Here is a 15,062-nt window from a genome sequence, read left to right as displayed (position 1 = left end):
TAATACTGATAGAGGATTCTTATGAAACAAATAAAACCCCACTCCTTCCATGACACTCCAAGACCAGAAGGAAAAACAAAACAAAACAAAGCAACCTTACCCGCAAGTAGCAATTATAGACATTGGCAGAAAGTGACATTAATAACAGTACTCTCTTCTTATATCTTCAAACACATAATCAATATATTGAGTAGTGATTTTTGAATTCAAAAATCTACATATATATTCACACATATTTGCAACATATATATGTGTGTGTGCATGCATATATATATACACACATACATATTTTACACATACTTATTTTAAACCCTGGCATAACTCAAGAAAGTTCAAACACATTTTTCTCTTGATTTAAAAAGAAAGTGAAAGAATATACTGGACAGTGAGATGAGATTTTCATACTACAAAGTTTATTGTTAAATATCAGCATAATTAAGGAAAGTTTCAAACTCAGTTTTTCTCCTTAGGGCTTTACAATTGGAACGGAGTCTTCTCTATTTTCAGATAGTTAAATGATGGCATTATACCAAGGGAGGGAGGAGATGGAGATTTCTAACCACGATTCATTTTGCCTCTTGAGGCCACAGGGCTTCTTGCTAATAAGAAAGGCTGCTAATCCATCACAACCCTGTGGATTTGGGTGTTGATGAGTAAAAGGAGAAAACGACACCAGGGTCATAGGCAACAGCTAATGAGACAGGAGAATCATGGCCAGTGAAGGAGACAGCTTCAAAGAGCAGCAGCCTGTGAGTGTGCATTTCCAAGGAATCCAATCAACTCTGTGGCAGCCAGGAAGTTCGCTCGCAACAGCTCCAACCATTCCCTTGGAGAAAGCCCAACACTCACAGAGCAAAACCGGACTCAGGTGTGGAAATGAGTCTGTCATGAATGGCCAGGCTTCAGTACACGCACTCTTTGGAGCCATGGCTTGGGTATCGTGCAATCTGGTCACAACTGGGAAAGGAGCTGGTGCCGTCTCTTTGTATGTGTTTTTATCTTCTTTCTCTGAATCAAGGAAACTGCAAAGTGGAAACACAGAAACAAAGAGAGGAAATGGAAAAGCCAGACTGGCACACCATTCTCGCCCTCTCTCTGTGGGTTCTCCCTGCAGCGAGCTCCAGCTCAACCAGGATGGAGCTAGAGAGAAGGAGAGATGCCCCAAAACAGCTTCTGCTATTTGGGGATTGTTTATATGCTGGAATGTCCCAGAAAGACTATCCCCACCTACAGTTTCTGTTACTTTTCACTTATGGTAATAATGGGCAATGAATCTCCCTCCCTTCCTCCCTCCCTCCCTTTCTCCTTTCCTTCCCACCCTCCCTCCTTCCCTCTCTTTTTCTTTCTTTTTAGATTTCTCCTCACTGTTCACTGTGAAACTTGGTAAGATACAGAACCATGTCCATGACTGAACGTTGTGAAAACTGACCAGATGAACTGGGTCATTCTTCTGACACCTAACTAACCCAGAGTCCAGAAGCCAGTGGGGAAAAGCACTCAGGGCACATAAAATTGCTCCAAGAATGTCATTCTCTGTAACCCTGGCTGCTGAAACTGTCTTCTGTAATCATCTGAAACAACGTGCTGTGATTCTAAGAATAGTTTTACCCACCACTTTCATCACTCACCACTCAGAGCAAGCCAGCTCCCCAGAACCTTACTAGTGTCAATCAATTTTCTGGAAAAACAATACACACCACTTCTCCTTTTCATAAAACTTCCAACCTCCTCTTTGTTCTTCAAACATACCAAAGACCATCTGGTCTGTGGGGTCTGTGTGTATGCCCTGAATTGCAATGCTTGAATTTTGAAATGTTAAATTTAGATCTTCATCTCTACATATTTTATTTGACTGACAATGTGACAGATATCCACACAGCTCAGGGACTAAAAATAAAACTCTTTTTCTCTGCTATTCACCACTTCACATTTGACATCAAATGTGTGCGTCTTTCTCTTACATTAAGCAATTTTCCAACTCTTGAGACACCAAGTGAGTATCCTTCAATTCAATTATGATGCTACCCACCCAGAGCTAGGGCAGGCCCCAAAGGTTAAGGGCTTAGTCCCACAAGACTGCCTCCTCTTTCAGAAACGAGTTGAAAGTCCCAGGTTGTGACCTATGTTTCTGACCAATCGGCTATAAATTAGGGTGTCTCATGACCCCCTCCTTAGGTCTGATAATTTGTAAGAACACCTCACAGAATTCAGATAGAGTGCTTTATTTACTATTACCGATTTATTACAAAGGATATTCTAAACGATGCAAATAAACAGCCAGACAAAGAGAAGCATAGGGCAAAGTATGGAAGAGTGGCAGGAAGCTTCCAGGCTCTCTCTGGGCATGCCACCCTCCCAGCACCTCTTGTATTCACCAAGCCAGGAGTCCTCCAAACTCCATTGATTAGGGTTTTGTGGAGGTTCCAATAAGTAGGCATGATTGATTAAACCATAGGCCATGGGTGGTTGAATTCAATCTCCATTCCTTCTCCCTCCCCCCAGAGGTGGGGTAGCAGGTATAGGGGCAGAAATTTCTAATCTTCTAATCACATTGTTGGTTGCTCTGGCAGTTAGCCCTCATCCTGAAGATATCTAGGGGCTTTCAGCCACCAGTCATATCATTAATATAAACAAAAAGACACTCTTACCACTCTAGAGATTCTAAGGGTTTTAGAAGTTCTGGTTTCAGAAACCTGAGACTAAGACCAAAAATAACAAAAGATACTCCCATCACTCCATCACTTAGTAAGTTATGAGAATTTAGAAGCTCTGTGCCAGGAACCAGGGGCAGAGACCAAATACGTACTTCTTATTATGCTACAGGAACATTCATAAAAGCCATTTTAACCATGAAAGATGAAGGACACGCGACTCAGAATATCTTTTTAAGGATGTGAGGAGTTCTGAATTTTGCATGTCTTTTATTCTGTATATGTTAATGTGCATATGTAAGTCCATGCACACACACACACACACACACACACACACACACACACACACATATGAACGTTCAAAAGTATTTCTGAGTCTTGGAGAATCATAGCAAGACTGGGTCCTCAGAAAAGTCAGTATTTTGTTTTTATTTTCAATTTTTTGTGGGTACATAGGTATTTATTTATTTATTTTGAGACAGAGTTTCGCACTTGTTGCCTAGGCTGGAGTGCAATGGTGCGATCTCGGCTCACTGCAACCTCCGCCTCCCGGGTTCAAGAGATTCTCCTGCCTCATCCTCCTGAGTAGCTGGGATTACAGGCACGTGCCACCATGCCCGGCGAATTTTGTATTTTTAGTAGAGATGCTATTTCTCCATGTTGGTTAGGCTGGTCTTGAACTCTTGACCTCAAGTGATTTGCCTGCCTTGGCCTCCTAAAGTGCTGGGATTACAGGCGTGAGCCACTGTGCCTGGCTGCTATTTATATTTATTGGGTACATGAGATATTTTGGTACAGGCATGTAATTTATAATAATCACATCATGGAAAATTGGGTATTCATCTCCTCAAGTATTTTTGTGTTACAAACAATCCAATTATGCTCTTTTAGTTATTTTAAAATGTACAATTAAATTAGGATTGACTATAGTTCCTGTGTTGTGCTATCAAATACTACCTCTTATTTATTTTATTTTATTTTATTTTTTTGAGATGGAGTCTCACTCTATCACCCAGGCTGGAGTGCAATGGCATGATCTCAGCTCACTGCAACTTCTGCCTCCCAGGTTCAAGCGATTCTCCTGCCTCAGCCTCCTGAGTAGCTGGGATTACAGGCACGCACCACCATGCCCAGCTAATTATTTTGCATTTTTAATACAGACGCGGTTTCACCATGTTGGCCAGGCCAGTCTCGAACTCCTGAGCTCAAGTGATCCAACCACCTCAGCCTCCCAAATTGCTGGGATTACAGCCGTGAGCTACCACGTCCAGCCTTATTTATTCTTTCTAACTACTTTTTTGGTACACATTAGCCATTCCAACTTTTCCCCACCCACCCACCCACTGCCTTTTCTCTGGTAACCATCCTTCTATTCTCTATCTCCATGAGTTCAATTGTTTTGAGAAAAATCAGTATTTGCATATATTACATTTTATTTCTGAAATCATCCCCATAAAATTAATAAAACTAAATTACTAGGTTTTTAACAAAAGCATAAGATTTGAGTAGAAGCATAGCAGCTTGCCCTATAGACTGCTTCCTTATAGCTGTTTACTGCTTAGAAATCACCTAGCCCCTGTTACAAGGTCCTAACTTCTATAGATAACATCTTTAACATTAAGGAACCTCAGATTTCCATTTTGAGATATTTTCCAGATCCGGCATTCCAATGGATTCACTGACACAAGCCAATCTGAAGACTCCCTCTGAGGAACTGACCCAGTGCAAGAATGCAGCTTCTATATCCTTATGATTTCATTCCCCACACCCTAACCAATCAGTGACTTCCAGCTCCTCAGCCCCTTACTCATCAAAATTCCCTTAAAACCCCTGGCCCAAAACTTCTCAGGGAAGCAGATTTGAGGTTACCGCCCACCTCCTCATTTGGCTGTCATATGATCATTAAACTCTCTGCTGCAGCTCTCCTTATTTTGGTGTATTGGTTTGTTATTGTGTAATGGGCAATGGAAACTGGTGGTCCTATAAAATTTATTTACTGAAAACAATCTGGTATTTTTTTCTGCTTTTTAAGTAGCTGCAGCATAGTAGAAAACTTTGCTTTTTACTTACAATGTGACCTTCAGCCAATGACAGATTTTAGTAATTGCTTTTGACTTACTAAATAATTCTCTTCTGGGCTAAAGTTTATGTAGGACATCTGTGTCTAAAATAATACCAGAGAAAAAAATGGCCTCAATATAAGAAGCTGGGGGAAGATCAAAACTTCATTGGCCATGAAGGAGACTCCCACTTGACTAGATCATCCTTGTACAAGAACAGATGCTCAGAGGAGCTGAAAATTGGCCAGTCTGGTAAATAGTAAAGCATCAGGGTGATAAAGTAGTGTTTTCTGGGGGTTTGTGTGTTCACTGTATGGGGTTATTTTCTAGTAATATTTTATTATAGAAAGGTACAATGCAAATTCACCAAAATCCTTACCCTCTTATGTTAGGCACAGTATTATATACTCTTGAGTCTGGCATGAGTATCTTTAATCTTTGCCCCACTCTGTGATCAACAGACACATCTATCCTGATTTTTCTTTAATAATAACAGTAATAGTAAAAGTGTCTGCTTCATTCCTCTTAAGTAGGTTCTATTCTTATCCTCCTTTAAGGCATGAGAAACCCGAGGCAAAGAGAGGCCAACTAACTTGCCCAAAGCCAAACCCTGGTAGGGGGGTGTATTAGTCCATTCTCACACTCCTATAAAGGCATACCTGAGATTGGGTAATTTATAAAGAAATTAAGTTTAATCAGCTCATGGTTCCGTGGGTTGTACAAGCTTCTGCTTCTGGGGAGGCCTCAGGAAACTTACAATCATGGCAAAAGGCAAAAGGGAAGCAGGCACATCTTCACATGGCTGGCAGGAGAGACAGAGATAGAGAATAGGGAGGTGCTACACACTTTCAAACAACCGGATCTCGTGAGAACTCTCTCACAAGAACAGCAAGGGGGAAGTCTGCCCCCATGATTCAATCACCTCCCCGAAAAGTGAAAAATAACTCCAAAATCTAGAAAGGAGAATGAAACCAATCAGCCTGTGTAGCTGGGACTGGCTAGGAACTGGAAGGTGAGTCCCCAGTACAAGAGAGAGTGAGTATGTTTCTTTGGTTCACTTTCCCACTGGAGAAATGTATAATTTAGGCCATGGGAGAGCACAGTGACCCTCTCAACCCCTTAATCGAATATGGAGAGCACCTGGAAGACTGTGAGAAGGAACTGTTTCAGGGAGGGAACACACTCTTGGCCCCATTCCCTTCCTGAGATCTAAGTGGTCACAGCAAGAACCTATTGTTGATTGTATTAGTCCATTCTCACACTGCTATAAAGACATATCTGAGACTGGGTAACTTATGGAGAGTAGAGGTTCAATTCACTCACAGTTCCACAGGCTGTATAGAAGGCATGGCTGAGGAGGCCTCAGGAAACTTACAATCATGGTAGAAGGTAAAGAGGAGGCAGGCACAAGCTTCAGATGGCAGAGAAGGAGAGAAAGAGAGCTAAGGAGGAAGTGTTACACACTTTTAAACCATCAGATCTCATAAGAACTCACTGACTATCATGAGAACAGCAAGGGGGAAATTTGCCCCCATGATCCAATCACCTCTCACCAGGTCCCTCACTCAACATTTGGAATTACAATTCAGCATGAGATTTAGGCAGGGAAATAGAGCCAAACCATAACATTCTGCCCCAGTGTCAGAGATGTGCATACCAGAGCAACTTCATCTTGAATAGAGGCTGGGCAAAATGAGGCTAAGACATACTGGGCAACATTCCCAGGTGGTTAAGGCATTCTAAGTCACAGGATGAAATAGGAGGTCAGACCAAGATACAGGTCATAGAGACCTTGCTGACAAAACAGTTTGCAGTAAAGAAGCCAGCTAAAACCCACCAAAACCAAGATGGCAACAAGACTGACCTCTGATCATCCTCAGTGCTATACTCCCACCAGCACCATGACAGTTTACAAATGCCATGGCAATGTCAGGAAGTTACCCTATGTGGTCTAAAAGGGAAGACATGAATGATCCACCCCTCGTTTAGCATATCATCAAGAAATAAATATAAAAATGGGCAACCAGTAGCCCTTGGGGTTGCTCTGCCTATGGAGTAGCCATTCTTTTATTCCTTCACTTTCTTAATAAACTTGCTTTCACTTTACTCTATGGATTCACCCTGAATTCTTTCTTGTGCAAGATTCAAGAACTGTCTCGTGGGGTCTCGATCTGGACCCCTTTTTGGTAACACTGGCCCCTCCCAAATTTCATTTCCTTTTCACATTTCAAAACAAAATCATGCCTTACCAACAGTCCCCCAAAGTCTTAAGTCACTCCAGTATTAACCCAAAAATCCAAGTCCAAAGTCTCATCTGAGACAAACCGAGTCCCTTCTGTCTATGAGCCTGTAAAATCAAAAAGAAGTTAGTTACTTCCAAGATACAATGGACATACAGGCATTGGGTAAATGTTCCCATTCCAAAGGGCAGAAATTGGCCAAAACAAAGAGGCTACAGGCCCCATGCAAGTCTGAAACCTAGCAGGGCAGTCATTAAATATTAAAGCTCCAAAATTATCTCCTTTGACTCCATGTCTCATATCCAGGCAACACTGATGCAAGAGGTGGGCTCCCAAGATGTTGGGAAACTCCACCCCTGTGGCTCTGCAGGGGTACAACCCCCATGGCTACTTTCACAGACTGGCGTTCAGTGCCTGTGGCTTTTCCATTCTGGGGTGTGGAGAATGGTGGCCCTCTTCTCACAGCTCCAGTAGGCAGTGCCCCAGTGAGGACTCTGTGTGGGGGCTGCAACCCCACATTTCCCTTCCTCACTGCCCTAGTAGAGGTTCTCCATAAGAGTTCTGCTCTTGCAGTAGACTTCTGCCTGAACATCCAGTTGTTTCCACATGTCCTCTGAAATCTAGGCAGAGACTTCCAAACATCAACTCTTGCCCTCTGTGCACCTGCAAGCTTACCACCATGTGGAAGCCTTGGTGGCTTTCAGCTTGGTGGCTTGCACCCTCTGGAACAGCAGCATGAACTGTACGTTGGCCCCTTTTAGCCACAGCTGGAGTGTCTGGGACACAAGATGCCATGTCCTGAGGCTGTGCAGAGCAGTGGGGCCCTGGACCTGGCTCACAAAACCATTTTTCTCTCCTAGGCCTCTGGGCCTGTGATGGGAGGGGCTGCCGAGAAGGTTTCTGAAATGACTTTGAGGCTTTTTCCCCATTGTCTTGAGTATTAACATTCGGCTCCTCTTTACTTTTGCAAATTTCTGCAGCTGGCTTGAATTCCTTCATGGAAAATATGTTTTTCTTTTCTACCACATGGTCAGGCTACAAATTTTTCAAACTTTTATGCTCTGCTTCCCTTTTAAATATAAGTTCCAGTCTCAGATAATCTCTTTGTGCATGCATATGAGCCTATGCTGTTAGCAGAAGCCAGGTCACATCTTGAATGCTTTGCTGCTTAGAAATTTCTTCTGTCAGATTACCCTAAATCATCTCTCTCAAGTTCAAAGTTCCACAGATCCCTAGAGCAGGGGTACAATGCAGCCAGTCCCTTTGCTAAAGCATAGCAAGAGTGACCTTTACTCCAGTTCCCAATAAGTTCCTCATCTCCATCTGAGACTTCTTCAGCCTGGACTTCGTTGTCCATTTCACTATCAGCATTTTGGTTACAATCATTCAACAAGTCTCTAGGAAATTCCAAACTTTCCTTCATCTTTCTGTCCTCTTCTGAACTCTCCAAACTGTTCCAACCTCTGCCCATTACCCAGTTCCAATGTTGCTTCCACATTTTCAGGTATCTTTATAGCAATGCTCTACTTCTCTGGTACAAGTTTTCTTTATTAATCCTTTCTCACACTGCTATAAAGACATACCTGACACTGAGTATAAAGAAAAAAGGTTTAATTGGCTATGGTTCTGTGGGCTGTACAGGCTTCTGCTTCTGGGAAGGCCTCAAGAAACTTACAATCATAGAGGAAGGTGAAGGGGAAGTAAGCACATCTTCACATGGCCAGCAGAAGAGAGATTGAGAGGGAAGGGGAAGGTGCTATACACTTCACACAACCAGATCTCGTAAGAACTCTATCACAAGAACAGCAAGGGGGATGTCCTTCCTCATGATTCAGTCACCTCCCACCAGGCTCCTCCTCCAACACTGGGAATTACAATTCAACATGAGATTTGTGTGGAGACACAGAGCCAAACCATATCGGTGGTAATGCCAGGATTTAAAGCTATTAGTCAGCCTTCAGCACCTGAATTCTTACCCACAACGTCTTGCTGTCTTCATACCTTGATTTCAAATCAAATTATGGAAGGAATTCTATTTAAGTCATCCTTCAAGTGAACATATTTTCAGTTCTCCTGTATTGAAGTTTTCATGTTGAAAGGCAGATTAATTTTTTTTTTAAGAGACGAGGTCTCATGCTGTTGTCCAGGCTGATCTCCAACACCTGGCCTCAAACAATCTTGCCTCGACCTCCCAAAGTGCTGGGATTACAGATATAAACCACTGCACATGGCCTAAAATGTTTAATAATTAGAAATAAATTATACCTTAATTGTCTTAAATATGTCACTTCCTTGCTTGAAAATCTTTCGTGGCTTCTCAAGAGATCAATAGAACATATCAGTTAAAATAGAGAATCATAGAAATGCTGTGTAAACACCCTAATATTTTATATTTGATGTGAAACATGGGCAGCCACATGTGCTAGGAGCCAGGGCCCAGTCTTGAGCATGAGTCCTCTGGTGGAGTTCAAAGGTGCCTCCTTATCTAACCACACTCAGATTCCATCATCTTATGATCTGTGGTTTCAATTGCTTTAAAGTGGAATAAAACTTTAAAGATAACTGTAAAGCAATCTAAGCCCAGAATGCTTCTGGGGTTTTATTTTTATTTATTATTATTATTTTAAAATATATTGGCGATGGGTCTTGCTATGTTGTCCAGGCTGGTGTTGAACTCCTGGGCTCAAGCAATTGGGCTCAAGAAATTCTCCTGCCTTGGCTTCCCAAGTGGTAGTATTATAGGCATGAGCCACTGCACCAGGCCTCTTTCTGGAGTTTTAGTTATTTTCTCCAATTAAAAAAATAACTTTCTTATTCACAGTTAATTTGACATCAATTATTTTAGGTAATCAATTTTTATCAGTTATCTCCAAAGCATTGTACTTACGTGTCACAGAAAATCTTCTTCCATCATTTCCTCTACATTCATAATTTATCAAGTTACATAGCATTAAATTACGTTACATAATTCCAGTTACAAATACAGAAGGCACAACAGGCTTAGGAGCAAAGGCAATGGATTCTTGGTAAGCCTTGAATTCAGATAATGGGATCAGAAATGCCAGCAGCTGTGGAGAAAGGCTGACTAATCTCCCAAGCTCAGGCACAGGGGGCATCAGTGAACAAGTTCTACAGACAGAATGAGAAGCATTGATTATCTAAGGAGCGAACTGATTGGGCATCCATTAAAAGAGCTTCTGCTGTACAGATTCCTCTGTCTGACATTCACAGTCCTCAATTGTGACCTAAACTTTCCTTTCTAGCCCCCATCTCCTACTATTCCCCTACATGTGTCTCATGAACCATCAATGAAGCCCTTATGAACTCCTTCTCTTCCAGAAGTATCCATACTTCCCTGTGTCACAAGATACCTTGTTCAAAACCCTCCCTTCTGGGTTCAAGGTATCCCTGCCCAAAACTTCACTGTGTTACAATAACCCCTGAAGACACCAAAGAGTTTCTTGGGAAGACAAAAAATTCTTGGATAAAGATTCTGGATGGCTTGTTTGCACTGTTAGGTTAGTTCTGCATATTGATTTGCATAAGAATACACACAATGTCATTTCTAACTTTAAGGCAAGCTGAGAGTATAGAGCTGTCCACTCTATCTATCTAGGGGATTTTTAGACTCTCTTCTCCTTTCTGCATGGTAAGCCACAACTTATTAATTTGAAAATTCTATTCTGTATTTCTATAACATCATCAAACTCTTTGTGCTCTGAAACTCTCAGGGCTAGCTTGCTTTCTGCTCATTTGTCTATATTATCTTTCCACCTGGAATATCCTCACTAGCATATGTTCCTGTTAAAAACCTATCAATTCTTCAGCTCTCTCCAGAGACAACAACCAACCAATGAGATAGTATATAAAACATAAACCTACATATATACCACTCACTTTCCCAAAGGATCTCCAAAGAACTTAAGAACTTAAAAATAAGCATAAAACAGGAAAAAATGAAAGAAAAACAAAGTTGCTGGGGAATACATATGTTTGAGTATTGGAGTCCATCTCTTATCTCAGCAGAGTAATTAATTTGGTTTCTGGTTTTTCCTAATTTAAAAGGCAAAAAGATTATATATTCTTTTATCTGATAAAAGAAAATAAGCTTGCTTACCTTCAAACTAATTTATTCCTGATACAAATTTCAAGGCATATCTAACTACATGTTATCACCTATAGTAAATGGGCACAGAAGAGAAGCCTCAGGGGACTTCATTTTGCTGAAATAAATTCTTAGGGCTCTTATTAGAAATCTCTGGAAATCTTTTTGGATTATATCCAGGCTCTTTCATTTCATCTATCATTTCCTGAGGAGTTTCTGATAGATTATCTCATGCCAGCACTATTGGCATTTTGGAGACTGGGAGGCATAATGGAAAGTGAATGCACACCAAGTAGCAGATTCTCTGCTCCACCATTTAACAGATGGCTGATTTTTGTCAGAATATGCCCCTAATTTTTCATTTCCTTATCTATAAAATAGGTACAATAATTGGTAAAATATAAGTGAAAAGTATCTATTGCAGTGCTTGACACATATTAGGTGGCAATAAATGGTAACATTATCACTAGTTTTCTGAAAAACAAAACCAAACAAAACCAAAGAAACGCTCAAAAAATCAAAAAACCCTAGAATATCAACAGCTAAAGCTCTCTTCTGTGGCTTCTTTTCCTCTCACTTAAAAATGCACAGAATTCCTTAGTTCTGCAGAAACATTTGTTTGAGTGTAGTATACCTTCAATCTACTAATTTATTTCCTACTTGCCTTTTAATGCTATTTCCTTACCAGTTGCCATCTCATTAACACTTCAAAATTTGGCTTTCCTGAAACTTCGTTTTCATTCTATTGGAGCTTCAAGATTCCAGTGACTTCCTTAGTGTTACCCTGCAGCATTTGGCAATTTTAAGAGATCTTGAGATTTTTCCCATTCCTTGATTCCACACTATTTTATTGTCTTCCTACTTCTCTTTACTTCTGTCTTCTTCAGTCAATTTCTCCTACCTCTACTGGGTCACAATGGTGGTTATTGCCCAAGGAGTTATTCTTTTTTTTTCTTCTAATTTTTATTTTTAGTTCTGGGGTACAATGTGCAAGATGTGCAGGTTTGCTCTATAGGTAAACGTGTGCCATGGTGATTTGCTGTACCTATCAATCCATCACCTAGGTATTAAGCCCAGCATGTATTAGCATTTTTCCTAATGCTCTCCCTCTCTCCATCCCACCCGCTGACAAGCCCAAGTGTGTGTTTTTCCCCTCCCTGTGTCCATTTGTTCTCATTATTCAACTCCCACTTATAATTGAGAATATGCGGTGTTTGGTTTTCTGTTCCTGCATTAGTTTGCTAAGGATAATGGCTTCCAGCTTCATCCATGTTCCTGCAAAGAACATAATCTCATTTCTTTTTATGGCTGCATAGTATTGCATGATGAACACGTACCACATTTTCTTTATCCAGTCTATTGTTGATGGGCATTTGGGTTGATTCCATGTCTTTGCTATTGTGAATAGTGCTGCAATGAATGTATGCGTGCATGTAACTTTGTAATAGAATGATTTATAGTCATTTGGGTATATACCCAGTAATGGAATTGCTGGGTCAAATGGTATTTCTGGTTCTAGATTTTTGAGGAATTGCCACACTGTCTTCCGCAATGGTTGAACTAATTTACATTCCCACCAACAGTGTAAAAGCATTCCTATTTCTCCACAACCTCGCCAGCATCTGTTGTTTCTTGATTTTTTAATAATCACCATTCTGACCAGTGTGAGATGATATCTCATTGTGATTTTAATTTGCATTTCTCTAATGATCGGTGGTGTTGAGCTTTTTTTCTTATGTTTGTTGGCTGCCTGAATGTCTTTTTTTGAGAAATATCTGTTCATGTCCTTTGCCCACTTTATAATGAGGCTGTTTGTTTTTTTTCTTGTAAATTTGTTTGAGTTTCTTGTAGATTCTGGATATTAGACCTTTGTCAGATGAATAGATTGCAGAAATTTTCTCCCACTGTGTAGACTGCCTGTTAGTTCTGATGGTAGTTTCTTTAGTTGTGCAGAAGCTCTTTAGTTTAATTAGAGCTCATCTGTCAATTTTTGCTTTCATTGCAGTTGCTTTTGGCAATTTCATCATGAAATCTTTGCCCATGCCTATGTCCTGAATATTGCTTAGATTTTCTTCTAGGGTTATTACAGTTTGGGGTTTTATGTTTAAGTGTTTAATCCTTCTTGAGTTAATTTTTGTATAAGGTGTGAGGAAGGGGTCCAGTCTCAATTTTCTGCATATGGCAAGCCAGTTCCAAGGAGTTATTATTAGACTTCTGCTTTTCGTCCACACTCTCATTAAATAATTTTATCAACTAATATCTTTATGTAGATGACTACCAAATCTATGTCTCCAGACCACATTATTCCCAGATTCCAGCTGCAAAACTACTGGTCTTCCATTTGAATATCTAAAAGGCATCTTAGACTCAACATCCTGAAGCGTATCATTTTCCCCAAATAAAATCTCCCTGTGAAAGTTTCAAACCTTTGAATCTTGTTTCCTGCTTATCTCCCCACAAAGACCCGTCAATTCTTCCTTTCTTATATAACTCAATATGCATCAATTTCCTCTACAATCACTACTACTATCACTCATTCTTGCATTCTCAAATTATTATAATTTTCTAAACTCCAGTTTTCCACCATCTCAAACTACCACCAAGTTATTATTCTTAAATAAATCCTCTCATCAAACTCATCAAATTACTGCTCAACGCAAAAACATACATGATTTCCTAAGAATAGAAAACCTACCTTAGTTTGGCATTCCAGGGTTAGAATTTTAAAATTGGATTTAATTTGACCTTTCAGACTTACCTAAAACTAATTCTTACCATTAATATTTATTAAAATAGCCTACTCATAATTCCTGAAAGCTTACGATATTTTTAGACATTAGTGTCCACTCCTTGCCCTCTCCTACTTCTCAAAAAACAAAACCAAAAACAACTCCATGATTTCTTTCTGGCATATCAACTTTTACCTCAATATCAATCCATTTGTTTGTCAAAGTTCATGTTCATCTCCAGGAATAGAACATGTGACCCAAGCTTGGCCAATCAATGCATCAAATTTTTCTGGCCACAATGATTATTTCTGGAATGGACATATGACCCATGTTTGTTCCATTAAAATTAATCTAGGACTTGTGAGGATGTTCCTGAGAAAAGTGTCAGACTAGGATCAAATAGTCTGCAGTAACAAACATGAAAGCTCAATGGCTTAACCAAATATGTTTTTTGCTCATGTCACAGTCTGATGGGCTAGAGGATCCCCTTTGGGGCTCTCCTCTAAATGGTGACTCAGTGATCCAGCACCCTGTACACTGCCATCTTAAACGAGGGGTGGAAAAGAGGGGTGAGCATATGGTGGCACGTGGCGAGGTTTTATTTATGTCCATCAGGCAAAACCCAGTCACATGGCTTCAACCTAGTTCCAAGAGAGGTGGGAAATACTGTCTTTCTATGTGCCTAGGAAGAGGAGAGGAAAATGAAATAAGATTTGATAAACACATATGATTGTTTCAGTTACATGATGAGGGTGGGGTGGGGTAGTATAGAAAAAAGTAAAGTTGTAGAGTCACTTAAAGACATGAAAATATCAGGATTAATATTTTATTTCAATAAACATGCAATATATGGCCTTTTTCCCCCCAGAAATGTACAGTAGACTCAGAAAGAATCACAAGCACGTCTGTGTCCACTCAAAGTATCCAGTGGTTCAATTCCTAGTGAGATGGAACAAGGCCCCTTTCTGGGGCCAGCTGGCCCTCCTTCCTAAGCATGGAAATTAAAAAAAATAAAAACTTTGAATCCCTTCAAAATAAATTCCAGGCACCTAGCTAGTTCTGCAACCAGCAATTAGAAAAGTGAATAAGTAACTTGGGAAGCAAGAAGGTAATCACAGCATAAACAATAGTCATCTAACAGTAAGTTAGAGCCACAGGATGTTTGGTTTCCTGTAAAAACTAAAGATAACATCTTTACATATGTCCTTGAGTTGCTTTTCAGAAACCAGGACCACCACCAGATGGAAAATGGAAAATACCAACCACTGTAATATAGA

The 15,062-nt window shown here is 40.3% G+C and overlaps 1 long non-coding RNA gene across 1 annotated transcript in view; it reads right to left on the bottom strand.

Moving 5' to 3' along the window:
* Positions 1 to 402: 402 nt before the first annotated feature.
* Positions 403 to 15,062, bottom strand: part of IL21-AS1 (IL21 antisense RNA 1) — a 70,174-nt gene continuing 55,514 nt past the window's right edge. Inside the window, exon 11 of the long non-coding RNA NR_104126.1 lies at positions 403 to 1,022. This is a non-coding gene — a long non-coding RNA (IL21 antisense RNA 1). The remainder of the gene's footprint in view (positions 1,023 to 15,062) is intronic.

Source organism: Homo sapiens, chromosome 4 (assembly GCF_000001405.40).
Source record: "Homo sapiens chromosome 4, GRCh38.p14 Primary Assembly".
NCBI classification, from domain to species: domain Eukaryota; kingdom Metazoa; phylum Chordata; class Mammalia; order Primates; family Hominidae; genus Homo; species Homo sapiens.
This window is presented reverse-complemented; position numbering and strand designations above follow the sequence as displayed.